The sequence below is a fragment of the Homo sapiens genome, chromosome 22 (assembly GCF_000001405.40).
Source record: "Homo sapiens chromosome 22, GRCh38.p14 Primary Assembly".
Taxonomy (NCBI): Eukaryota; Metazoa; Chordata; class Mammalia; order Primates; family Hominidae; genus Homo; species Homo sapiens.
In genome coordinates this window covers 30716800-30743130 of record NC_000022.11, presented here as the reverse complement: position 1 = coordinate 30743130, position 26331 = coordinate 30716800, and the positions used below count along the sequence as shown (strand labels likewise).

The 26331-nt window shown below is 46.3% G+C and overlaps 1 protein-coding gene and 1 non-coding gene across 4 annotated transcripts in view, besides 3 other annotated features; both read right to left on the bottom strand.

The window, feature by feature from the left end:
- OSBP2 (oxysterol binding protein 2) overlaps window positions 1-26331 on the bottom strand; it is a 214032-nt gene that overhangs the window by 164683 nt on the left and 23018 nt on the right. For all 3 annotated transcript variants that reach the window (NM_001282738.2, NM_030758.4, NM_001282739.2), the window contains one exon: window positions 1762-1970. In NM_001282738.2, the coding sequence (NP_001269667.1) occupies window positions 1762-1970 (209 nt within the window). The remainder of the gene's footprint in view (window positions 1-1761; window positions 1971-26331) is intronic.
- Window positions 2374-2433: an enhancer, noted in NCBI's record as "active region_18844". NCBI's record gives its function as "activates an Ori minimal core promoter by ATAC-STARR-seq in GM12878 lymphoblastoid cells {active_cell/tissue: GM12878}" and the evidence as "EXISTENCE:reporter gene assay evidence [ECO:0000049][PMID:35858748]".
- Window positions 2724-2783: an enhancer, noted in NCBI's record as "active region_18843". NCBI's record gives its function as "activates an Ori minimal core promoter by ATAC-STARR-seq in GM12878 lymphoblastoid cells {active_cell/tissue: GM12878}" and the evidence as "EXISTENCE:reporter gene assay evidence [ECO:0000049][PMID:35858748]".
- On the bottom strand, window positions 11490-11574 carry MIR3200 (microRNA 3200). The gene has a single exon (NR_036171.1). It is a non-coding gene; the product is annotated as a microRNA 3200 (primary transcript).
- Window positions 25084-26283: an enhancer, noted in NCBI's record as "CDK7 strongly-dependent group 2 enhancer chr22:31112835-31114034 (GRCh37/hg19 assembly coordinates)". NCBI's record gives its function as "activates an origin of replication core promoter dependent on BRD2, BRD4, P300/CBP, MED14 and CDK7 cofactors, with strong dependence on CDK7, by STARR-seq in HCT116 cells {active_cell/tissue: HCT116}" and the evidence as "EXISTENCE:reporter gene assay evidence [ECO:0000049][PMID:35650434]".

The window sequence follows — 26331 nt, the reverse complement described above, 5'->3', positions numbered from 1 at the left end:
TTCTCACCTGGAGCCCTGCCTCCCCAGACAAACACATAGGTCTGTGGAATACACCATTCCACTAATGACTTCAGAAGGATCACTGTTGCATGTGTAGACACATTTTTCAACCATCAGAAACATTTACTGTAGCTCTGGGCAGGCAAGGCTGTGGGAGGTGTGTGTCCTCACACACTCCTGTTAACATTCCATGGCACAACCCCTGTGGAAGGCAGTTTGACAATACCTTGAAGAATTACAAATGTACGCGCCCACTGACCCAGCAAGCCGGCTTCCTGGAACATAAGTTTCATTTATACTCACATGTGCATGAAATGAAGTACTTGCAAGGTTACTCATGGCAGCACAGTATGTCACAACAAAATAAGGAAAACAACCCAAATGCTCACCAACAAGCTATAGGTTACATAAACTATGGTCCACCCATACAATGAAATACTACACTGTTGTAAGAACAAGGAGGAGGCTTTTTACATATTGACAGGGAAAATTTCCAAGACATATTGCTAAATGGAAAATAAAGAAGGCAGTGAATGCAGTTATTTTGAAATAAGTACCTATTTGAATATACATGTGAAGATACAAGTATCTCTGGCTGCCTCTTGGTAGGAGAATGGGGTGAGTGACTGGGAACCAGGAGTCAAAGACAAGACCTCACTGTGTAGGATTTAGAAGCTGTTGGTTTATGAGTCATGTTAAAATATTACTTTTTTTTTTTTTTGAGACAGAGTCTCACCCTGGTGCAATCTTGGCTCACTGCAACCTCCGCCTCCTGGGTTCAAGTGATTCTCCTGCCTCAGCCTCCTGAGTAGCTGGGATTACAGGCACGCACCACCACGCCCAGCTAATTTTTTGTATCTTTAGTACAGACAGGTTTTCACCATGTTGGCTAGGCTGGTCTCAAACTCCTGACCTCGTGATCCACCTGCCGCAGCCTCCCAAAGTGCTGGGATTACAGGCATGTGCCACCACACCCAGCCGAACATTACATATTTAAAAAATAAATTTATTGGCCGGGCGCGGTGGCTCATGCCTGTAATCCCAGTACTTTGGGAGGCTGAAGTGGGCGGATCACGTGAGGTCAGGAGTTTGAGACCAGCCTGGCCAACGTGATGAAACCCTGTCTGTATTAAAAATACAAAAATTAGCTGGGCATGGTGGTGTGCGCCTATAATCCCAGCTACTTGGGAGGCTAAGGCAGGATAATTGCTTGAACACGGAAGGCAGAGGTTGCAGTGAGCCGAGATCATGCCACTGTACTCCAGCCTGGGCGACAGAGTGAGACTCTATCTCAAAAAATAAAATAAATTTATAAAGTAAGAAACAAAATGTCTTGCTCAGGACATCTGAGCGGGCTTCCCTAATAGGCAAAGACAGCAGCTCTGGCTAAATGGTTTCACTCTCCACGATGGGGGAACCTGGGGAAACGGCTGGCTTGAGGCACAGACTGACTGCTGCTTCTGGACCTAACCCACTGCAGCATCTGAAGGGTCTGCTGAAGTCCTGACTAGCCCAAAGAAAGGCACACACAGCTCCTGCCCACCAAAAACATTTCCATGCCAAGAACTGCTCGCCAGACAGAATGGCTGAGTCTCTCACTGCTGACGATGCACAGAACATGCACGCACCTTGACCTTCCAGATTGATCCACGCTGGCCTGGGTCTCCTGGCCACCACTGCCCACCAGTGGCTTGCAATTCCCACTTCCTCCAGACTCATGACACCACCATATACACACCCGCTGTCCCAAGTGCTCACTACCTGAATGAGTGTTCATCACGCGGACAGCCTTGGCCTTGGCCAGCTCCAGGGCGGTGATCCACTGCTGCCGGTCCACCTCTGAGCTGGCCTTGAGGTGGTAGCTCCTGGCCCCACTGGTCAGCAAGATACCACAAGAGTCCTCCGTGTCAATGTGCGCGGTGGACAGGTTGATGGTTCCACGGCACGTGTGGGCCATTTCACCCTGATTTCTGTAGGATGTAAGAGAAGGAATGGGGTGAGGCTCCTAATCTCAATGGCTCCAGACTAAAGAAACCCTCCAGGCAAATCCTCAGAATCTCAGACCCTCAGAGCTGGGAGAGGCCCTGGAGTCAAAGTTGGGAGATGATGCCTATTGGAACTGCCTGGTCGTGGCTTGGTTGAGGGGGACTCTAAGGCCACGACTGCTCTCTGTGGGGAATGGCAGAGGGACGGGAGCCTGCATTGGTGCCACGTGTGCAGGGAGTGTCTGGTGTGGTCTAAAGCTTTGCAGACACCAGGAAATGGCAGAATGACTGCCCAGGTCTCTCAAGACAGATCAGCCTTCGGACTCTATGCTAAACTCTTTCCTTTAAGTCTTAGAACCATGGAGTTGGGGCCAGGCGCGGTGGCTCACACCTGTAATCTCAGCACTTTGGGAGACCGAGGAGGGCAGATCACTTGAGGTCATGAGCCAACACGGTGAAACCCTGTCTCTACTAAAAATGAAACTGCCTTTGCAAAATTATGACTGAGAGTGAAAGAGATCTAACTTAACTGACTCCATCTTGCTTCTAACCTCCAAGCTGTCTTTGTTCATTCCTGGGCATAGGCTGAATTAACTTTGAAAGAAACTTAATTTGTAGTTTATAGTTTAAACAAAGATGGGAACAGCCCTTTCCCGAAGCAGACCTCCTTCTTGCCTAGGGACTAGAGTAACATTAGCCACAGGATTAGAAATTATGGTTTAGGAGTCATGCATTTGGAGGCTATAAGATTCTGACCCTCCCTAAACTGCTCCTAAGAGCAGTGCTTGAGATATTTTGCAAACCCTGCACTTGATGGATCAGCTGGCACCACCCACATCGATAAACTGGCTCGTCTGATCTTGTGGCCCCCACCTAGGAACTGACTCAGCACAAGAAGACAGCTTCAACATCCTGTGATCTCATCCCTGACCAATCAGCACTCCTGGCTTACTGGTTCCCCCACCACCCTCCAAGTTATCCTTAAAAACTCTGCTCCCCTTGGCCAGGCGCGGTGGCTCACACCTTTAATCCCAGCACTTTGGGAGGCCGAGATGGGCAGATCACCCGAGGTCAGGAGTTCAAGACCAGCTGGCCAACATGGTGAAATCCCGTCTCTACTAAAAATACAAAAATTAGCTGGGCGTGGTGGCTCTTGCCTGTAATCCCAGCTACTCGGGAGGCTGAGGCAGGAGAATTGCTTAAACCAGGACCGGGGAGGCAGAGGTTGCCGTGAGCCAAGATCGCGCCACTGCACTCCAGCCTGGGCTACAGAGCGAGACTCTGTCTCAAACACAAACAAACAAACAAAACAAAACAAAACAAAAACTCTGCTCCCTGAATGCTCAGGGAGACTGATTTGAATAATAATAAAACTCCCATCTCCCGCACAGCAGACTCTGTGTGAATTACTCTTTCTCTATTGCAATTCCCCTGTTTTCATGAATCGCCTCCGTCTAGGCAGCAGGCAAGGTGAACCCCTTGGGCGTTTACAAAAATACAAAAATTAGCCGGGCATGGTAGCGTGCACCTGTAGTCCCAGCTACTTGGGAGGCTGGGGCAGGAGAATCACTTGAACCCGGGAGGCGGAGGTTGCAGTGAGCCAAAATGGTGCCACTACACTCCAGCCTGGGTGACAGAGCGAGACTCTGTCTCAAAACAAACAAAAAAAAGAACTACAGAGTTGGAGCAGGTTGGGATCCTGCCATTAAAACTGAAATTGGAGGCCCAGAGCCTGAGGGGGCAGACGTAGAGGCATCTCCTGCTGGGAGGCACCTGGGGCCAATGTCTCCCTGATGCTGCCCTTTTGTTCTATCATGAGATCTACAGAGCAAGGATGTCCCATTCTCTGGCTCTACATGGATTAGTTGAAGGCATTGGCTGGGCAAACATAGTGCAATCTCATAACAACGGACTTATAAGATGATGGAGCTAATGGTATCAAAATAAGGGGAGGGTAGGTGACTAAAGTGTATGCCATTTCCAATTACAATCAATGTCGGAAAACGGAGATCCAACTATCATGACTGGATCTAACTCACTCCTCAGACACTTGAAGGAAATTCAGAACCCCTACGACATAATAAATCTTTTCCCATGAAGGGTGTTAGAAAAGGAAGAGTGATTGGCCAGCATTTAATACTGCCAGTGACAGGAGCTCATTTGGTAATTTTCTGCTACCTTTTAATGCTCATTTATTTTCCCTGGCTGTTCATCATCTGTCATTTTTTTGATTCTTCTATCAGTTCTAAAGTCAAATGACTCGACACTCAATCAGACATTTGTCAGCTGGGCACGGTGGCTCACGCCTGTAATCCCAGCACTTTGGGAGGAGGAGGCAGGTGGATCACTTGAGGTGAGGAGATTGTGACCAGCCTGGCTAACATGGTGAAACCCCGTCTCTACTGAAAAATACAAAAATTAGCCGGGCACGGTGGCGGGTACCTGTAGTCCCAGTTACTCGGATGGCTGAGGCAGGAGAATCACTTGAACCTGGGAGGCGGAGGTTGCAATGAGACAAGATTGCACCATTGCACTCCAGCCTGGGCAACAAGAGCGAAACTCCGTCTCAAAGAAAAAAAAAAAAAGACATTTGTCTTTTTTTGAACAGCGATTGTCTTTTCCAATTCCCTTGTGCTTTGGGCACATTCCTTAGAGAAGATGACGTGTAGCTGAAGGAAAACCCAACTCTTAGCTGCTGGTATCTTTTGTTCGAAGGACAGTCACTCTAATTTAGAAAACTGGTGAAGCTGGGCATGCCTGTTGGGAGCCTGACACTTTTAGATTTAAGGACATTTTAGGCTAGAAATTGTTCAGGTGTAAGTGTAGTGACTCACCAAAAATGACATTATGGCTTAGCTCAGAAATAAGAGGGGGATGGGCAGTGTTCCGGACAGAGAGAGCAGCAGGGGCAAAGACCACCAGGTGAGGGGCAGTTCTCAGCTTCCAAGAAATAGAAAGAAAGGTCCTTTGGCCAGAGTGCCAACAACAAGAGAGCAAATGAGAGAAAAATGAAGCAAAAAAATCAGGCAGGTGGGTAAGCATATTTCTGGAGTTGAAAAAAAAAAAAAGGAAAAGAAAATCAGGCAGGGACTAAATTCAGTACCTTGTAGGCTACGTTAAGGATTTAGAGTCTCAGCCGTGCACGGTGGCTCACGCCTGTAATCCCAGCACTTTGGGAGGCCGAGCCGGGTGGATCACGAGGTCAGGAGTTTGAGACCAGCCTGGCCAACATAGTGAAACCCCGTCTCTACTAAAAATACAAAAATTAGCAGGGCATGGTGGTTGCATGCCTGTAGTCCCAGCTACTCAGGAGGCTGAGGCAGGACAATCGCTTGAATCCTGGAGGCAGAGGTTGTGGTGAGCCGAGATCGTGCCACTGCACTCCAGCCTGGGCAACAGAGCGAGACTCCATCTCAAAAAAAAAAAGATTTAGAGTCTCATCCTAAAACTAAGACAGTGAACATTGTGGGCCTAAAATCAGGAAAGAAACAGAGATGGTCAAGAGTTCTTGAAGTTAGGTTGGGCGTGGTGGCTCACATCTGTAATCTCAGCAATTTAGGAGGCCAAGGTGGGAGGATCACTTGAGGCCAGGAGTTCAAGACCAGCATGGGCAACATAGGAAGACCCCCATTTCTACAAAAAAAAATTTTTTTTAATTAGCCAAGTGAGGTGGTGTGCGCCTGTAGTCCCAGCTACTCAGGAGCTGAGGTGAGAGGATTGCCTGGGCCCAGGAAGTAGAGGCTGCAGTGAGCCATAATCATGCCACTGCATTCCAGCCTGAGTGACAGAGTGAGACCCTGTCTTTAAAAAAAAAAAAAAAAAAAAAAAAAGGCCGGGCGCAGTGGCTCACGCCTGTAATCCCAGCACTTTGGGACGCCGAGGCTGCAGGATCACCTGAAGTCAGGAGTTCGAGACCAGCCTGGCCAACATGGTGAAATCCCATCTCTACTAATAATAGAAAAATTAGCCAGGTGTGGTGATGCATGCCTGTAATCCCAGCCACTTAGGAGGCTGAGGCAGGAGAATCACTTGAATCCAGGAGGCAGAGGGTGCAGCGAGCCAAGATTGCACCATTGCACTCCAGCCTGGGCAACAGAGCAAGACTCCGTCTCAAAAAAAAAGAGTTCCAGAAGTTCCTGTGGAAAAATGGAGAATCGAAGTGACTTGCACAGGGTGGGAGATGGCAGCCAGGCCACTGCATGAAATCAGGGCTGGACTAGAAGTTACCCAGCAGTGATCATACCAGATTATAACCCATTAACTAAATAAATGGGGGAAAGAGGACAGATATTCCTAAACAAAAGTAGATGAAATTATGGACACAGAAAAATCACTAAATGCAATACAGAATCTTGGATTGAATTATAAAATAGAAAAAAAGAGACTAATGGAATTTGAATAATGTTTGGAGTTTAGTTAATAGTATTATAATGATGTTAGTTTTCTAGTTTTGAGAATTGTACTTTGGTGAGGTAAGATGTTAACACTAAGGGGAGCTAAGCAAAGAGTATATAGGAATTGTCTGCACTATTTTTCTAACTTTTCTGTAAATCTAAGTTATTTCAAAATTTTAACAATTTAATGCTGCTATCACCTTCTCAGGGTCACAGCTGATAGCAAAGTCTTGTAGCCAGAACCTGAACTCATCTGCCCAGGGTCAGGGATTGGATGGGAGATATTCCCAATGTCACTCAAGGGCAGAAGCCCCAAGCCCCCATCATAGGATCTGGTTCTAGACGGGACTCTCCAGGGGACTAAGTAAAGGCATTTTAAAAATCACTAGACAAAGAAGAGTGGGTGAGGCTGAGGGAGCGAGGGAGGGAAGACCTCCCAGTCGAGATGAGCCTGAAAACCAAAATTCAAAACCTGTGAAGAAAACCAATGCTAATAAAGAAGCCAATGAATTCAATGCTTAGAAGATGAATCACTTCAGGCCAGGGATGGTGGCTCACACCTGTAATCCCAGCACTTTGGGAGGCCGAAGTGGGTGGATCTCTTGAGGTCAGGAGTTCAAGACCAGCCTGGACAACATGGTGAAACCCCATCTCCACTAAAAATACAAAAATTAGCTGGGCATGGTGGTGTGTAGCTGTAATTCCAGCTACTCGGGAGGCTGAGGCATGAAAATCACTTGAACCTGGGAGGCAGAGGTTGCAGTGAGCTGAGATCGTGCCACCACACTCCAGTCTGGGCAACAGAGAGAGACTCTGACTCAAAATAAATAAATAAATAATAATTTTTTAAAAATACCAAAAATTAGCTGGGCATGGTGGTGCACACCTGTATTCCCAGCTACTCGGGAGGCTGAGGCACAAGAACTGCTCAAACTTGGGAGAAGGAGGTTGCAGTGAGACGAGATCATGCCACTGCACTCCAGCCTGGTCAACAGAGTGAGATGAGACTCTGTCTCTAAAAGAAAAAAAGAAGAAGAAGAAGAAGAAGAATCGCTTCAGCCATAATAATATGAAAAGTATTTAATATAAATAGGTTTAGGATTCTCAAAGATAAAGAATAACATCAGTAAAAGGGGGATAGGCTGGGGAGCAGTGGCTCACGCCTGTAATTCCAGCACTTTGGGAGGGTGAAGTGGGAGATCACTTGAGGCCAGGAGATCACGACCAGTCTCGGCAACATGGTGAAACCCTGTCTTTACAGAAACCACAAAAATTAGCCAGGCATTCCAGCCTGGGTGACAGAGTTAAGACCCTGTCTCAAAAAAAAAAAAAAAAAAAAAAGAGAGAGAAGAGAAGAAAAAAGAAGAAGAAACAATTTAATGAAATAGAAGTTGATAAAAATGAAACAAGAGCAGGTAGATATGAATAAGTAACATGAGCACTTCAGAAAATGAAAATATAGCAGATTAGTTTTTCTAGTCACCCAGCATCCAAATCTAAATTGATCCTTTACTCATTCTAGTTAGTGTTACTTTTTATTAAGGGTTTTATTTTATTTTTGAAATAGAGTCTCACTCTGTTGCCCAGGCTGGAGTGCAATGGTGCAATCATAGCTCACTGCAGCCTTGAACTCCTGCGCTCAAACAATCCTCCTGTCTCAGCCTCCCAAGTAACTGGGACCATAGGCATGTGCCACCATGCCAGCTAATTTTTTTTTGTTTTTGGTAGAGACAAGGTCTCACTATGTTGCCTAGGCTGGTCTTGAACTCCTGAGCTCAAGTTATCCTCCCACCTTGGCTTTCCAAAGTGCTAGGATTATAGGCATGAGCCACCAACCACACCCAGCCTCTTACTTTAACTTTTCAGTTTTATCTTTCTACATTATTTGGAAGGAATTATACAGTGAAATATATAAATGTGGGGGCTAACAACCCTTAAAATTATCAAGATCTGATACATTTGCTAGTCTTAGAATTTAGCTCTGCTCTTCTCTTTCATTTAGATATTTTATGTTCAATCCATTTTTAACCTGTAGCCAAGGTATTATTTTTACCTTTTTTATTCAGTTTTAAAAATTTTTCAATGGCTTCAAACTCAGTCCTGAAAGGGTCTAAAATTTAGGGATGTATCCTAAAATCCAGATTGTTGTTTAGGAGTAGTGCACCTGCTCATGTTGTAAATAAATGATTTTGTTTCTCCCACTGTGAGTCCTGGCTGAGGTAACCCTCTCTATGAAGGTTAAGCTTCCAGGGAAGTCCAATAGTCCAGACAGTGGCAAAGTTAAAGCCCTGCTCACAGTACACTATAGACCTGGGCCCTGCAAGCTGCAGTGGTAACTCCTCTCCCGCAAGAGGCTATGGAGGTGTGCAATATTCCAGAACCATCTGGTCTCACTGAGCCCTAAGCAGCTTCAGTGGCCTCACTACCAGCCATGATCTAAGGCCTCCCAGTTTCATCAGGGCTCATATCCAAAATACATGATAATGTGGCCAGGCATGATGGCTCATGCCTATAATCCCAGCACTGAGGCAGGCAGATCACTTGAGGCCAGGAGTTCGAGACCAGCCTGGCCAACATGGTGAAACCCCGTCTCTACTAAAAATACAAAAATTAAATGGGCCTGGTGGTGCATGTCTGTAATCCCAGCTACTCAGGAGGCTGAGGCAGGAGAGTCGTTTGAACCCAAGAGGTGATGGTTGCAGTGAATGGAGATCACACCACTGCACTCTAGCCTGGGTGACAGAGCTAAACTCCGTCTCAAAAAAAAAATGATAATGTATTTTCTGCCACTTTTAAGGAGACATGTTTTGAGGCATTACTTTGATATCTGATTTAGAACAAATATAAACAAAATACTAAACATCTGCAGTACAATTTAACTGCAAGAGAATTTACCACAACCAACATCCCACTAAGTTAACTACACCGATTCTCAACAAAATAATACTCGCAATGACCCCAGTCACACTCTCACCTCTGTCAAGGATTCCAGCAATCAGAACTTGGAAGCCTGTAGTAGTTAATGCATTGCTTTTTAGGCCATGGAGACCATCTATGGTTAGCGACTTACATAGTTGTATTGGACCCAAACCTTGTACATCAACTAAGAATGGTGCACCTCCTCCGTCCCCTCTCTCTCTCCTCCATTTAAGCCAAGTCGCCCCTGCATTTTTGGGCTTGGGAGTAGTACTGCATCTCAGAGTATGCAATCTGGTTTCCTGAGTGGTCACCGACAAGCTGGATTTTTGCAACCCACAGTATGGAAGGGTTAGTGACTCACAGGTTAAACAATGAGCAGTGGGAAATGGGAAGTGGATGGAAACCAGGCCAGGAAATGCTCTTCATTTATCCCCCCTGCAGATCTCTCCAAGGTATCTTTGCAAACCTTCCAGAGAAGTCCATGAGCCCAGAGAACATGAGTGGCCTCTGTGAGCCTTACAGTTTGCTGCAAAGCAGTGGCGAGGTCTTGAAGCCTCATGTTACTTTGCATCCTCCCCTTGCTTTCCTTCCTCTTTTGCCTCCCCAGCACCAAGGCTCATCTCGCGGCTCCACTGAGTGCCCGATCTACCAGCAGTAGAAACCAACACGGAACCCTCCTTGATATGGCCCATCCTTGGGAAGAGCCAGACAGCCACTAACTATATCAGACCCCTTCCACCTTGGAGGGATACACAATTTATCCTTCATGAAACGGAAGTGCTTTTTGGTAATGAGGTTGCCTTCCCTGCCTGTAGTGCCTCCAGCAGCACCATGGTCCAAAGTTACTGAATGCCTCGTGTGCTGGCCTGGACTTCCATTCGATACAGCCTTATACAAAGTGGCCCATTTCAGCCTAGCAGCTGTGCCAGTGACTCCTGGCCATAAATTCACTGGAATCACAGGAACCCAGCTGCACTAGGGGGCAGCGAGCCTGACAAAACAATGGAATGGCCTACTGGCTTAGCGGGGACACCGAGGGAGAAATACCCCTCAGGTTTGAGCCTCTGTCCTCCAGGATGCCTTGAGCTGACAACTGATATCTGGTGCCATGTCCCCCACAGCTACAGCAGACAGGTCCAGGAGTGGCCCTGCTCACCATCACGCATGGTTGCCCTTTGCAAGGTGTGTGCTTCCCATCCTCACACACTTGGGATCAGCTGGGTTAGAGGATCTAGTCCTGGGGTAAGGGAGGAATGTGAAACAAAGATTCCACTGATCTGGACACTGCCACAACCACTTGGCCACCTACGGCTCCTCATGCCAGTGACCAACAAAGAGGGGAGTGACTCTACTGCCAGGGGAGTGACTCTACTGCCAGGGGAGTGACTCTACCGCCAGGGGTCACTGATCCTAATTGCCATGAGGAATTAGGTGAGTGGCCCATTTGGAAATGGGAGGAGAATGTCTGGAATAAAACCCAGAGGACTCCTTGGGATATCTCTTATTTTTATTTATTTATTTATTTTTTGAGACAGAGTTTCACTCTTGTTGCCCAGGCTGGAGTGCAATGGCGCTATCTCGGCTTTCTGCAACCTCCGCCTCCCAGGTTCAAGTGATTCTCCTGTCTCAGCCTCCCGAGTAGCTGGGACTATAGGCACCCGTCACCACGCCCAGCTAATTTTTGTATTTTTAGTAGAGATGGGGTTTCACCATGTTAGTGAGGCTGGTCTTGAACCCCTGACCTCAGGTGATCTTTCCACCTTGGCCTCCCAAAGTGCTGGGATTACAGGCATGAGCCACTGTGCCTAGCACCGGTATCTCTTAACATTTCCATGATTGGTAACGGCTGATAATGAGCAAGGCCAACAACACATGCAGACCACTCAGCGCAAACATCACAGACCAGCCAGAGTGCTGGCGGAGAGTGGAGAGGGTCTAGGGTGGGTAGTGCAGGAGGGAAATGATGAGTAACAATGAGCACACCAGGACCGGCCACAGCAGCAGCAGATGACCTTGTTTCACAACCTTCTTGCTTTATTCTTCCTGGTAACCCCAGTGGGCCAGCACCAGGAAATGGCTTCTGTCACTGATGGGATTTGTACCTTCCTGCTCAGGGAAGGAATGAGGATGTTTTTGTTCTCCAAGGAAAACGGAGATTCCCACATTGAAGTAGGAGAGCTGATATCATGGGAGGGCACGAGCAGACCTGAGTAGCGCAAGGTGTGGACTGTATTGGACACAAACCTTGTGCGCCTTCTCAGATTCCCTCGACCACCTCCTTCTTTGTCTCTCTCGATGATGCCTCATCCAGGTCACGCCGTACCTCCACTTCTGGGCTTGTATGAAATGCCACCGTGGAAAATAGGATATGAAAAGAACAGGTCAGATGAATCTCCCCCCACTCTTCCCTCCACGGATGGCTCTGAGGTGTATTTTCTTCTTGTGTAAGTTCTGGAAAAGTCCATGTGCCAGGCAAGCATGCTTGCTGAGCGACCCACCGTGTCTCTGTAGCTCGCTGTGAAGTCTCATCCAGCAAGGGAATGAGCTGGGTGGTCACTTTGATCTCTCCTCTGCCACTTGCCATTGCTCCTTCACTGCCCTGGGATTGCACCTCCCAAAGTGTCAGCTCTTTATTTTTCATTTATTTATTTATTTATTTGAGATGGAGTCTCACTCTGCCGCCCAGGCTGGAGTGCAGTGGCGCGATCTCGGCTCACTGCAACCTCCACCTCCTGGGTTCAAGCGATTCTCCTCCCTCAGCCTCCCGAGTAGCTGGGACTATAGGCGCCCGCCACCACGCCTGGCTAATTTTTTGCATCTTTAGTAAAGACAGGGTTTCACAGTGTTAGTCAGGATGGTCTCGATCTCCTGACCTCGTGATCCACCTGCCTCGGCCACCCAAAGTGCTGGGATTACAGGCGTGAGGCACCGCGCCCGGCCAGCATTAGCTCTTTAATCCCTGCCTTGGGCTATGTTTTCCAGAAGCCCTTCCCCAAAAATGTCCATGGGAAAAAAAAAAAAAATTATATATATATATATATATATATATATATATATAGAGAGAGAGAGAGAGAGAGAGAGAGAGAGAGAGAGAGAGAGAGAGAGAGAGAGAGAGACAGGGCAGCGAATCTGAATCCAGATGCACAGAAAGACCAAAAGCTACCACTCTGGAGCAAAGTACTTAGTCTTATATGGAACTTCCATTCAATGCAAGCTCAAGGTGACCCTGATTCACTGTGAAATTCCCATCCAACCTTCTGCATTCTAATTCAGCAAGCACTTCCTGTGGGCTACTATATAAAGGAACTGTGCTAGAAACTGGGGAGGGAGTAGATACAAAAATAAATACGACACATCTTTCTGGCCTCAATGGTCTAGCTTGGGAAGGACACAGGCCTGTAAATGACAAGCCACTGTTTGTTAACAATAAGTGGGGGGAAATAAATTCAAAATAAGGGAGGTGCTCACTCCATGAAAATTCACTAGCTACATCCTCGTAATTGACCAGTTTTTCTGCATGTATGTTATACTTTTATACTTTATAAAAATTGGCTTTAAAAGCAAACTCCAGGCTGGGTGCGGTGGCTCGCGCCTGTAATCCCAGGACTTCGGGAGGCCGAGGTCGTCAAATCACTTGAAGTCAGGAGTTTGAGACTAGCCTGGGAAACATGGTGAAATCCCGTCTCTACTAAAAATACAAAAATTAGTCAGGCATGGTGGCATGCGCCTGTAGTCCCAGCTACTTGGAAGGCTGAGACACGAGAATCGCTTGAACCTGGGAGGCAGAGGTTGCAGTGAGCCGAGCGAGATTGTGCCACTGCACTCCAGCCTGGGTGACAGAGGGAGACTCCATCTCAAAAAAAAACCCCAAAAAACAAAAAAACCCAGAAATTTATTATCTCACACTTCTGGAGGCTAGAAACCCATAATCAACGTGTTGAAGTCCACAAGAGCTGAAGTCCACGAGAGCCTGGCTAATTTTTGTATTTTTAGTAGAGACAGGGTTTCACTATGTGTGCCAGGCTGGTCTCAAACTCCTGACCTTGTGATCCACCTGCCTCGGCCTCTCAAAGTACTGGGATTACAGGCATTAGCCACCATGACCAGCTGATTTCCTACCTTTTTAAGGCTATCTCCCTGTTGTGTATACATATATACACACACATATATACACACACATATATATATATATTTTGAGATAGAATCTCTCTCTGTCACCCAGGCTGGAGTGCAATGGCACAATCTTGGCTCACAGCAATCTCTGCCTCCTGGGTTCAAACGATTCTCCTGCCTCAGCCTCCCAAGTAACTGGGATTATAGGCACCCACCAATATGCCCAGCTAATGTTTGTATTTTTAGTAGAGACGGGGTTTCATTACGATGGCCAGGCTGGTCAGAAGCTCCTGACCCCAGGTGATCCTCCCACCTTGGCCTCCCAAAGTGCTGGGTTTACAGGCGTGAGCCACCGTGCCCAGCCAATAATTTTAGATCCATCCATCCATCGATGGACATTTAGGTGGGTACTGTGAATAATGCTGCAATGAACATGGCAGTGCTAGTATCTTTGAGATCCTAATTTCAGTTCTTTTGGATAAATGTCCAAAAGTAGGATTCCTGGATCATATGGTAGTTCTATTTTTAATTTTTTGGGGAACCTTTATACTAGGAAATGAACCAATTTAAAATGGGTAAAAAACTTGAGTAGGCACTTCACAAAGGAAGATACCCAAATGGCTGATAAACATATGAAAAAGCACTCAACCTCGTCAGTTATCAGTGAATGCATATGTGTCTCATGATTAAGCAATTTTACTCCTGTGGATTTCGGCATTAGTAATGTGTACATATGCTTACCAGAAGGCAGGTACCAAAATGTTCACAACATTATTCCTAAAAGCCAAAATCTGAAAACAACTTGCAGGTCCATACACACTAGAATGGACAGACAAATGGTGGTTTATCCATTTTGTGGTTCATCCAAATGGGGGAATATAATACAGCAATTAAAACAAATGAGTTAGTTACATATAAGAACCTGGAAGAGGCAGTGGCTCACACCTATAATCCCAACACTTTGGGAGACCATGGCAGGAGGATTGCTTGAAGTTAGATGTTCGAGACCAGCCTGGGTAACAAAGCAAAACCTGTCTCTATAAAAATAAGAAAAAGTTAGCCAGGCATGTTGACATGTGCCTGTAGACCCAGCTACTTGGGAGTCTAAGGCAGAAGGATCCTTTGAGCCCAGGAGTTTGAGGCTACAGTAAGCTATGATTGTACCACTGTACTCTAGCCTAGGTAACACAGCTAGACCCTGTCTCTACAAAAACAAAAAATGAACAAACAAAAAAACCTGGAAAAAATCTCACAAGTATAATGTTGAGCAAAAACAGCCGTGCACTACTGCACCCAGCTAATTTTTGTATTTTTTTTTTTTTTTTGAGACGGAGTCTTGCTCTGTTGCCCAGGCTGGAGTGCAGTGGCGCGATCTTGGCTCACTGCAAGCTCCACCTCCCAGGTTCACGCCATTCTCCTACCTCAGCCTCCCGAGTGCTGGGACCACAGGCACCCACCACCACATCTGGCTAATTTTTTGTATTTTTAGTAGAGATGGGGTTTCACTGTGTTAGCCAGGATGGTCTCTATCTCCTGACCTCGTGATCCGCCCGCCTCAGCCTCCCAAAGTGCTGGGATTACAGGCATGAGCCACCGTGCCCGGCCCTTTATTTTTCTTTGAGACAGTCTCTCTCTGTCACCAGGTTGAAGTGCAGTGGTGTGATCTCGGCTCATGGCAACCTCACCTCCCGGGTTCAAGCAATTTTCCTGCCTCAGCCTCCCGAGTAGCTAGGACTACAGACACGCACCACCACACCCAGCTAATTTTTGTATTTTTAGTAGAGACAGGGTTTCACCATGTTGGCCAGGATGGTCTTGATCTCTTGACCTTGTGATCCACCCGCCTCAGCCTCCCAAAGTGGTGGGATTACAGGTGTGAGACACTGCGCCCGGCCCAGGGTGGTCATGTTTTATTTCTTCATAGGCGTAGTGGTTTTTCAGGGTGTTCATTTTATGAACATTCACTGAGCTAAACACTTATTTGTCTACTTTTCTCTACGCATATTAGACTTAGGTTAAAGTTTATATTTAAAAAAACAGGAATGAGAATTATTTCCTGGCAATGATAGCAGCAACAATGACTGGTTCTTAGGGGCAGCAGAGGCAGCAGTGCCCAGGTGGCATCAACATGCAGTGTCCAGGTATCAGTGTCCTCTCTGGGGTGGTTCTGTGGCATGACTTTGTCCACAGAGCTCGCTGTCCAGCCTCCCTTGTTCTCACCTCTTCTCTGAGAGCTATATTTTCCTGCCTTTCCAGAGATTCTGTGAGCTACCCAAGATCCCTTCTGCATATATATGAGCTTTTCTGCTTAACATATCCAGGTTTGGTTTTCTGTGGTTTTTGACTAAAAACCTGCTGGTGTACTTGGGCACTGGCCACAGAAGGCATGTCAGAGGGCAGGAAGGGCAATGTTTGAGAGACACAGACAGGAGGAAAAGCAGTTTTCAGTTCTTCTACCTCTCAGGTCAAGGGGACACCGTTAGGAGCCTCCTAGGCGGAAGGAAGGAAGCTCAGCTTGTTCATCCTAACTACCACATCCTGAGGACTTACCTTAGCAATGTCTCACATGGACAGCCATTTAAGATGTGATGGAAAAGTAGAGATGGTACCTCCCTGTTCCACATGCATAGGCTGGGGCTCCACAGGACACAGCCACCAAAGCCAGGCCCACCTACCTACTCCCAGCCCCTTCCATGTCTTACCAATTGGGCTACACAGACTTTTGTCACCCAGGTTCACTTATACTCTCAAAAGCCATTAAAGTTAGTCAGATGGTGCCACTCAGACAATGCTCAACATCACAAATGTCAGCCGCTGCCCATCAAATAGAAGCCTCTACTTACGCAGTGCTCACTTTCGGAGATGAGGCTGTCACTCTGAGACCTGACATTGTTTCATTTTTCTACTGGCCTGATTCTTTGCCATTTAAAGTTTCCCTTGAGAAATGTTAAATAAATGCGACTACAAGGACACTTCTAATGTAATTTTAAAAATAACAATTAAAAAGGAGGCCTGGAAGCCATTCTCCCATCACTGAATGTCACATTACTACATTTATTTATTTATTATTTATTATTTACTTTAAGTTCTGGGATACATGTGCAGAACGTGCAGGTTTGTTACTCAGGTATCCATGTGCCATGGTGGTCTGCTGCACCTATCAACCCGTCATCTAAGTCTTAAGCCCCACATGCATTAGGTATTTGTCCTAATGCTCTCCCTCTCCTTGTCCCCACCCTCTGACAGACCCCAGTGTGTGATGTTCCCCTCCCCGTGTCCATGTGTTCTCACTGTTCAGCTCCCACTTATGAGTGAGAATATGTGTTTAGTTTTCTGTCCCTGTGTTAGAATGCTGAGAATGATAGCTTCCAGCTTCATCCAGGTCCCTGCAAAGGACATGAACTCATTCTTTTCTATGGCTGCATAGTATTCCACGGTGTATATGTGCCACATTTTCTTTATCCAGTCTATCATTGATGGGGATTTGGGTTGGTTCCAAGTTTTGCTATTGTAAATGACATCTCTACATTTTTACACAGACATAGGATGAGAGTAATTTATGAAGCACAGCATTCCTATCAATACAACTTTCATCTATGTAGCACTTCACCTTCTATGGGAGCCTATCATGAACATGACTGTTTTGGCCGGGGGGCTCATGCCTGTAATCCCAGCACTTTGGGAGGCTGAGGTGGGCATATCACTTGAGGCCAGGAGTTTGAGATCAGCCTAGGCAACACGGCGAAACCCCATCTCTACTAAAAATACAAAAATCAGCCAGGCGTGGTGGTGCACACCTGTAATCCCAGCTACTTGGGAGGCTGAGGCATGAGAATCACTTGAACCTGGGAGGCAGTGAGCTAAAATTGCACCACTGCACTCAGCCTGGGTGACAGAGTGAGACTCTGTCTCAGGAAAAAAAAAAAAAAGACTCTTTTGACCCTCACAAGGGCCATAAATTAGAAAAGCAGACATTGATTCATTTAGCAAATATTTATCAAGTATTATCAAGTATATTCCATATGTCAGGTACTTGTTGGAGGAAATTAGCCCCATTTTACAGCCAGGAAAGGGGAGGAGATCAGGAAAGGACAAATCACTTGCCCTGGTCCATAGAACTGGTGAATACCAAAGGCAGAACTAGAATTTGTTTTTTTTGTGTGTTTTTTTTTTTGTTTTTGTTTTTGTTTTTGTTTTTTGGTGGAGGGGGCTGAAGAGTCTCACTCTGTCTCCCAGGCCGAAGTGCAGTGGTGCGATCTCAGCTCACTACAACCTCTGCCTCCCGGGTCCAAGTGATTCTCATGCTTCAGCCTCCCGAGTAGTAGCTGGGATTACAGGTGCATGCCACCATGCCTGGCTAATTCTTGTATTTTTAGTAGAGACAGGGTTTCACCATGTTGGCTAGGCTGCTGGTGTTGAACTCCTGGCCTCAAGAGATCTGACTGCCTTGGCCTCCCAAAGTGCTGGGATTACAGGCCTGAGCCACTGCACCCAGCCTATAATTTGTTTTTGTTTTTTTTTTGTTTTTTTGTTTTTTTGTTTTTGAGACAGAGTCTTGCTCTGTCACCCAGGCTGGAGTGCAGTGGCACGATCTCAGCTCACTGCAAGATCCGCCTCCTGGGTTCACGCCATTCTCCTGCCTCAGCCTCCCGAGTAGCTGGGACTACAGGCGCCTGCCACCACGCCCGGCTAATTTTTTTTTGTATTTTTAGTAGAGAGGGAGTTTCACCATGTTAGCCAGGATGGTCTCGATCTCCTGACCTCGTGATCCACCCGCCTCGGCCTCCCAAAGTGCTGGGATTACAGGCGTGAGCCACTGCGCCCGGCTTATAAATTGGTTTCTTTGCCACCAGCACAGGGCTCTTTCCATGGAGCACACTGGGATATCTGTCCAGAAATAATATTTTGGTTTACTTTATCATTGTCTGTTATGCACAGTTCACAAGCTAAAGCACAAGTTCCATGAGACACGGACCTGGACTGTCTCGTCCCTGCCCCGCTCATAGCAAGATGTGTTAGGTCCACACAAAACCCTGCAAACGGGTGTTTATAGCAGCTTTATTCATAACTGCCAAAATACGCATGCAACCAAAATGTCCTTCAGTGACTGAACAGATAAACTATAGTCCATCTAGACAATGAAATATTATTCAGTGCTAAAAAGAAATGAGCTAACAAACCATGAAAAGACATGGTGGAAGCTGGGCATGGTGGCTCACGCCTGTAATCCCAGCACTTTGGGAGGCCAAGGTGGGTGGATCACCTAAGGTCAGGAGTTGGAGACCAGCCTGGTCAACATGGTGAAACCCCATCTCTACTAAAAATATAAAATAAACTAGCCGGGTGTGGTGGCAAGCACCTGTAATCCCAGCTACCCAGGAGGCTGAGGCAGGAGAATCAATTAAGCCTGGAAGATGGAGGTTGCAGTGAGCTGAGATCAAGCCACTGCACTCCAGCCTGAGCGACAGAGTGAGGCTCCGTCTCAAAACAAACAAACAAACAAAAACCAGACATGGTGGAAATTTAAATGCATATTACTAAGGGAAAAAAGCCAATCCAAAAAGGCTAAATACTGTATATACTGTGTGATTCCAACTACCTGACTTTCTGGAAAAGGCAAAACTAATGGAGACGGTAAAAAGATCAGTGGTTGCTTGGGGTTAGGGGATGGGGAGTGATGAATAGGCAGAGCACAGACTGATTTTTAGGGCAGTGAAAATACTCTGTATGATACCGTAATGGTGGATACATGCCATTAGACATTTGTCCAAGTCCATAGAAGGTACCGCACCAAGAGTGAACCCTAATGTAAACCATGCACTGTGGGTAATAACGATGTGGGTTCATCCACTGTAACAAACAGACCACTCTGATGGGGATGTTGGTAACGGGGGACGATATGCCTGTGTCGGGAGAGAGTAGATGGGAAATCCTGTACCTTCTGCTCAATTCTGTTGTGAATCTAAAACTGCTGTAAATAGGTAAGGTTTTTTTAAATAAAAATCTGGCCGGGTGCGGTGGGTCATGCCTGTAATCCCAGCACTTTGGGAGGCTGAGGAGGGTGGATCACTTAAGGTCAGGAGTTCGAGACCAGCCTGGCCAACATGGTGAAACCCCGTCTCTACTAAAAATACAAAAATTATCTGGGCGTGGTGGCACACGCCAGTAATCCTAGCTGCTTTGGAGGCTGAGGCAGGAGAATCGCTCGAACTTGGGAGGCAGAGGTTGCAGCGAGCCGAGATCACGCCACTGCACTCCAGCCTAGGCAACGGAGCAAGACTCTGTCTCAGGAAAAATAAATACATAAATAAATAAGGCTGGGTGTGGTGGCTCACGCCTGTAATCCCAGCAATTTGGGAGGCTGAGGCGGATGGATCATGAAGTCAGGAGTTCAAGACCAGCCTGACCAATATGGTGAAACCCCGTCTCTACTAAAAATACAAAAATTAGCTGGGCTTTGTGGTTCGCACCTGTAGTCCCAGCTACTCAGGAGGCTGAGGCAGGAGAATCGCTTGAACCCAGGAGACAGAGGTTGCAGTGAGTTGAGATTGTGCCACTGCACTCCAGCAAAAAATAAATAAATATATATTAGAAGAAATATCAACCAATTGTAATGTATGAAAGTTATTTGAGGCAGGTGTGGTGGCTCATGCCTGTAATCCCAGCAACACTTTGGAAGGTCGAGGCAGGAGGATCACTTGAGCCCAGGAGTTCAAGACTAACCTAGGCAATATAGTGAGATCCTGTCTTTACTAAAATTCAAAAAGAATTATCCTGATGTGGTGGCACACGCCTGTAGTCCCAGCTCTTCGGAGAGCTAGGTGGGAGGATCACTTGAGCTCAGAAGGTAAAAGCCGCAGTGAACTGTGATCACGCCACTGCACTCCAGCCTGGGTGACAGAGTGAGACTCTGTCAAAAAAAAAAAAAAAAAGACAGAGAGAGAGAAAGAAAGAAAGAAAAAGAAAGAGAGAGAAAGAGAAGGAAGGAGAAAGAGAAAGAAAGAAAAAAGAGAAAGAAAGAAAAAAGAGGAAAGAAAAGAAAGAAAGAGAAAAAGAGAGGGAAGGAAGGAGAAAGAGAAAGAGAGAAAGAAAGAAAAAAGAGAAAAGAAAGAAAGATCAGGATCTTGACTTCCAGAAACTATAAACAAAATTATAAATCAGTGGGGAAATTTGAGTATTGACTAGATATTTGATAACATTAAGTAATTATTGTTAAATTTTTAGGTATGTTGGTACTGTTCTGATTACTTTAAAAAAACTCTAAAGAGATACACACTGTACTAAAATATTTATAAATGAAAGTTAAGGTTGGGTGGGATTTGACTGAGTGTGGACCCTTGATTGACCCTAAGGTGAGACTTGTTGACACTGGGTGATGGGGACAAGGATTTCATCACGCCAACATCTCCATTTTTGTATATTTTGAAAATTTCCAAAATAAAAAATAAAATCTGTAAGTATTGTTTAAATCTTCCCTGTGTATAGCCATGACAAACAGCAGCACTGAATGACTTTGGTGACAAAGGGGATCTCTTGAGTCCCAGGGAGCCAGGCAGAGGAATGAGGCTGCACACTAAGTGTCTCAAGACAAGAAGCTGGGAGCTGGCAGGGTCTCTAGGGCACAGGGCTGGATCTATTTCAAGCATAGCTGTGGGCCTATACATCCAGATCCTCCTCCACAGAATTCAGGATACTTGAGCAGATTTGTTTTTTAAATCATCACACAATCTCGGTAGCTGCAGCCACAATCTATAGGATATTCCTGCAACCCAGATTCTTCCTTTCACAAGCTTAAAAGTCCCGCAGCACAAAAACCTACCAAAATACTACACTAAGCAAAGTTTCTAAAAACGAAAACCAGTTACTAAGCCAAGTGAAAGATTGAAATGCCATGAATTTGAGATAATTAAGGAAACATTTAACTCCAAATTTAACACTCCAAGGCCAATTATAAATTTAAATGTTCGGATTACAATATGAGTTTACAGATCTGATGGTGAGACATACAATTTATTCAGGAATTTTGCTTCTTCCCTTCATGGCCTCCAGTATTATAGACACTGACACAAACAATAGATGAAATGGTCTTATGTAAAAGCGACTCCCATCAAGCTTCACTTGAAGCAGGAATGGCAGGTAAACTCCTGTCGAAACACAACAGCAGCCTGCAGAACCAAAGACCCCACACCATAGGCAGTTGCAGACTCCCCAAACAGAGTCTGCGTGGGAGACCACCTTCACCCCTGCTCTGCACACTCGTCCTTCATTCAGTCAGCGCAGCATTCACTGAGGGCCTGCCACAGGCCAGGCACTGGGTTCAGAGTGGTGAATGAGACAGATGAGATCCCGGCCTCCATGGGGCAGCTAGTCTTCTGGGCCCCCATAGCACCCAGTAACCAATGACATGTGACCTTCTTTCTCCCATGCACCATTTGTCTTTTGGGTTTGTTTGTTTGTTGTTTTTTTGTTTTGTTTTGGTTTGGTTTGGTTTTTTTAGATGGAGTCTCCCTCTGTCACCCAGGCTGGAGTGCAGTGGTGCATATCAGCTCCCTGCAATCTCTTCCTCCTGGGTTCAAGCAATTCTCCTGCCTCAGCCTCCCAAGTAGCTGGGATTACAGGCACCCGCCACCATGTCTGGCTAATTTTTTTGTATTTTTAGTAGAGACGGGGTTTCACCATGTTGACCAGGCTAGTCTCGAACTCCTGACCTCAAGTGATCTGCCTGCCTCGGCCTCCCACAGTGTTGGGATTACAGGCGTGAGCCACCGTGCCAGGCCTCCCATCTACCATTTGGACTGAGCAAGGGAAGGACTCCATCAGCAGAGAAGGGTCTCCCACAACAAGGTTCCACAACCTGGCTGCTCCCCAAGGAGGCCTCAACTATGTCTTCCTCATCCTCTGGCAAAGCCAGTCCTGCCTTCCTGTTAAACAGGAATATGGGAGTTAAACAGGAGGGTCTCATTAGTTAAGCATTCATTACTAGCAAAACCCTTTTATTAAAAAATATCCCTTACACTTATGAAACAGTTTGCCAAGTACTTCCCTTTTTGTTTCAAATAGCCAAGCAGGGCTGTTGACAGATAAGGAAAGTGAAGGTCATGGATGTGTAGTGTTTTCCTCCCACACTGACCAGAGATCACCTGTGTAACTAAGAGGATATTGAGTGTGCATTTCAGGGTAGGCACACTGGAGTTCCTGCCTAACTCTGTCTTGGCTCGCTCTCCCTTAGAAAAGCCAGCTGTCATGTTGTGAGGACACTCGAGCGGCCCTTTGGAGAAATCCACAGGGTGAGGAACTGAGGCCTCCTGCCAATTGCCTGCACCATTTTGCCAGGCGTGTGAGTGAGCCACAATGGAAGTGGAGTCTCCAGCCAGTCAAGCCTTCAAATGACCGCAGCCCTCATGACAGATCCTGAGCCCACTCAGGATCACCCCAATTAATCACCCATAGGTGAATTCATGATCCATGGAAACAATGAGATAATGCTTATTGTTGTCTTACAGTGCTAAATTTCAAGGTGATTTGTTATGCGGCAACAGATAATACACAGTAACACTGAGACAGCCTCTCTGAAGATGAAAAGTACATCCATGTGGAAGGGATAACCCCAGCTGTGTGGGACAGAGAAATATCCCAATGAGGACAGAGGTTGCACGGAAACCTATCTCAGCTCAACAGAAGGATTTTCTAACATTCAGAGTTGTTTAAGGAACAATCAGCTTATCTTAGAGGTTTGCTCTCTGTTACCTGAGAGGTGATAAGGGGGTTGAGATGCTATGGGAAGAAGTCAATGAACAGAGAGATGGTTGGCTTGATGGCACTTTTTGTTGTTGTTGTTGTTCCCTTGTTGTTTGTTTGTTTGTTTTTGAGAGATGGGTTCTATGTTGTCCAGGCTGGTCTTGAACTCCTGGCCTCAAGCTATCCTGGCTCTGGCTCAGTGACTTTTTTTTTTTTTCTTTTTTTTTTGAGACAGAGTCTCACTTTGTTGCCCAGGATAGAGTGCAGTGGTGCCATCTCAGCTCACTGCAACCTCTGCCTCCTTGGTTCAAGCAATTCTCATGCCACAGCCTTCCAAGTAGCTGGGATTACCGGGGTGCGCCACCACTCCCGGCTTATTTTGTATCTTTGGTAGAGATGGGATTTTGCCATGTTGGCCAGGCTGGTCTCAAACTCCTGGCCTTAAGTGATCCACTCACCTTGGCCTCCCAAAGTGCTGGGATTACAGGTGTGAGCCACTGTGCCTGGCCTTGGTGACTTTTAAGTTCCTTACCTAGAGATTCTTCTGCCACCACACCAGGCAACTTTTCCAGGGCCCTGGAAAATCTAATCAGCTTCCCATTCATGGCACATCTCTGCAGTGTGTGGCTGGCTATCAGTTACTGAACACTGATTTACTGTGGGCTGGGACTTCTGGGAGGGAACAGACAAAACATGAGCTACTGGTCCTGCCACACAGCTGCACATGCACACATAATGACACACACTGCCACCGAGCACAAACTAAGGCTGAAAGAGAAGGGGAGTGAGGAGGGCAGCAGCCTGAAGCCAGGGATAATGTTGAGAGGACTGCGAGGCACTCAGGTAAGTACAGGCTGGAGAGAAGGCACAGCGGGAATCAGCTCAAGGTTAAGAACACTCTAATCCCGTCTCTAGAAGGCAAAGGCTCAGTAAGCTGACAGATAAATTCAAACTCAGAAGAACTGCAGGATTCAAAAGAAGAAAATTGCTTCCATGCCTGTATCTAGCAAAATAATTTTATTTTCTGAAAATAAAAAATTCAAAGAAGGTGCCTTTCTTGTCACAGTGCATGAACAACTCAGCAAAAAGTCCCCACTCAGTCTGCCCGCAAGGCTCCCAAGTCTGAGAACCAGAACACACCATCAGCCCTGTTCCCATGCTGCCCCAGGGCTCAGGAGCAAGGGCCCAGGCCATTTCTGCAACAAATCTGTTAGTACTGGCAGGGGGAAAAAAAAGGGGGAGACAAGCACCCGGATGTTGTCACTGCAACTCCGAAGTTGTAAAGTTGCAACTCCAACAGCAGTGCCCAGGGCCTGTGGCCCCAGGGGCAGGAAGGCCAGTGAACACCTGAGGCCCAGCTAAAGCATCCCCCATTCTTTCCCTACCAGGTCAGTCACCAGATTCCTGGCCTCCTGGACTCAGATCTCCAAGCCATTAAGTCAACAGACATTTCCCGAGTCCTTTGATGTGCCAAGCCCAGTGCCAAGCATACAGGTCATCTTTTATATCTCATCTCTCCTCCTCCTCCTTCCAGATGGTTTCCCATCAAATTTTCAGAAAGGTAAGGATAGAAAGAACCCCAGACATCACCTAGCCTAGTCCTCTCACTCTATAGATAAAGAGGCTAAAGGATGTGATCGTTAGAAGGGAGGTTAGAGGCTGTGACAGACTGAAGCATTTCTCCTGTTTCTTTCTGCCATCCCTGAACTACAATTTTAAGTGCACAACTTTTGCCACTGGACTTTGTAGGATCCTCTAAAATGGGGAATGGATATCTTCCCACCCTACTGATATTGGACAGGGCCACATGCCTTGATTCAGCCAATGGAATGTGGAATGGAGTGAGGGTGTGCAGGCTCAAGCTGGGATGCTGTGACTCTCGATTACCCTCCTGTACTTCTGCCATCACAACAGGAAGACACACCTCCTAGCTTACTCCCAAGTGCCACTGCCTGAAGGAGACCTGGCCTGGTCATCTGCGGACCCTCAAGCAAGAGAAAACCACTGCTGCTTTAACCTCAGAGTTTAAATCACCACTGGGCAATGTGTTTTGAAGTTGCTTGATCCAGGAGGACAGGTGAGCTGAGGACTCGATTCTAACTCCCGCCCACCCTCGCCTGTCAGAATGCACACACAACCCATTGTCACTGAGGTGTCAGAGTAGAGCAAGGGATCAGCAGGAGATGATGATGCTGGAGAGGCAGAGATGAGGCCAGTCCTGAGGGGGAGTCATGTTGGCACATATTTGAGATGAATAGAAGATGAATAAGGAGACTCTAAGTGTCAAAATAAGAGTCTCAACCAGCAATCTTTGTCATCAACCTAAGGATCTGCTTTTGACTTCCATCTGCTTTCTTACAGGCTATGGCAATCATTCTTTTTGTAAGTACAGGGCTTTATAGCTAGTGAGCAAAGCCTAGAGATGTGAGAAGGGACTCTAGAGGTCCACTTTCCTGGATGTAACTTCCCATCTGGTCCTGGATGGCACAGCTGCAGCTGGACAGTAAAACATGTGTCATTTCCCCTTAGTGTAGGCGTTTTTCAAAAGGCCTTGATTTTTTCCCTGTGTCAAATGATCTTTGGCAAGGATGCCAAGATGACTCAGTGGGGGAAAGGACAGTCTCTTCAACAAATGATGTTGAAAAAACTGGATGTCCTTGTGCAAAAGAATGAAGTTAGACCCTTATCTCACACCATATGCAAAAATTAACTCAAAATGGATTAAAGACCCAGCAAGGTGCAGTGGCTCTTGCCTATAATCCCAGCTACTTGGGAGGCTGAGGTAGGAGAATCACTTGAGGCCAGGAGTTCAAGATCAGCCTGAGCAACATAGCGAGACCCTGTCTCTACACACACACACACACACACACACACACACACACACACACACAAAAACAGTAAAATTAAAACAAAATAGATTTAAATGCCTAAATGTAACATCTGTACAACTCCTAGAGAAAACCATAGGCATAAAGTTTCATGACATTGGATTTGGCAATGATTTCTTGGATATGACACCAAAAGCACAGGCAACAAAAGCAAAAACAGACAAATGGGACTCCATCGAAGGACACAACTTAAGTTCCTTGAAGGACACAATCAACAAAGTAAAAAGGAAACTTATGGAATAGGAGAAAATATTTGCTAATCATATATCTGACAGTGGGTTAATGTCTAGAATG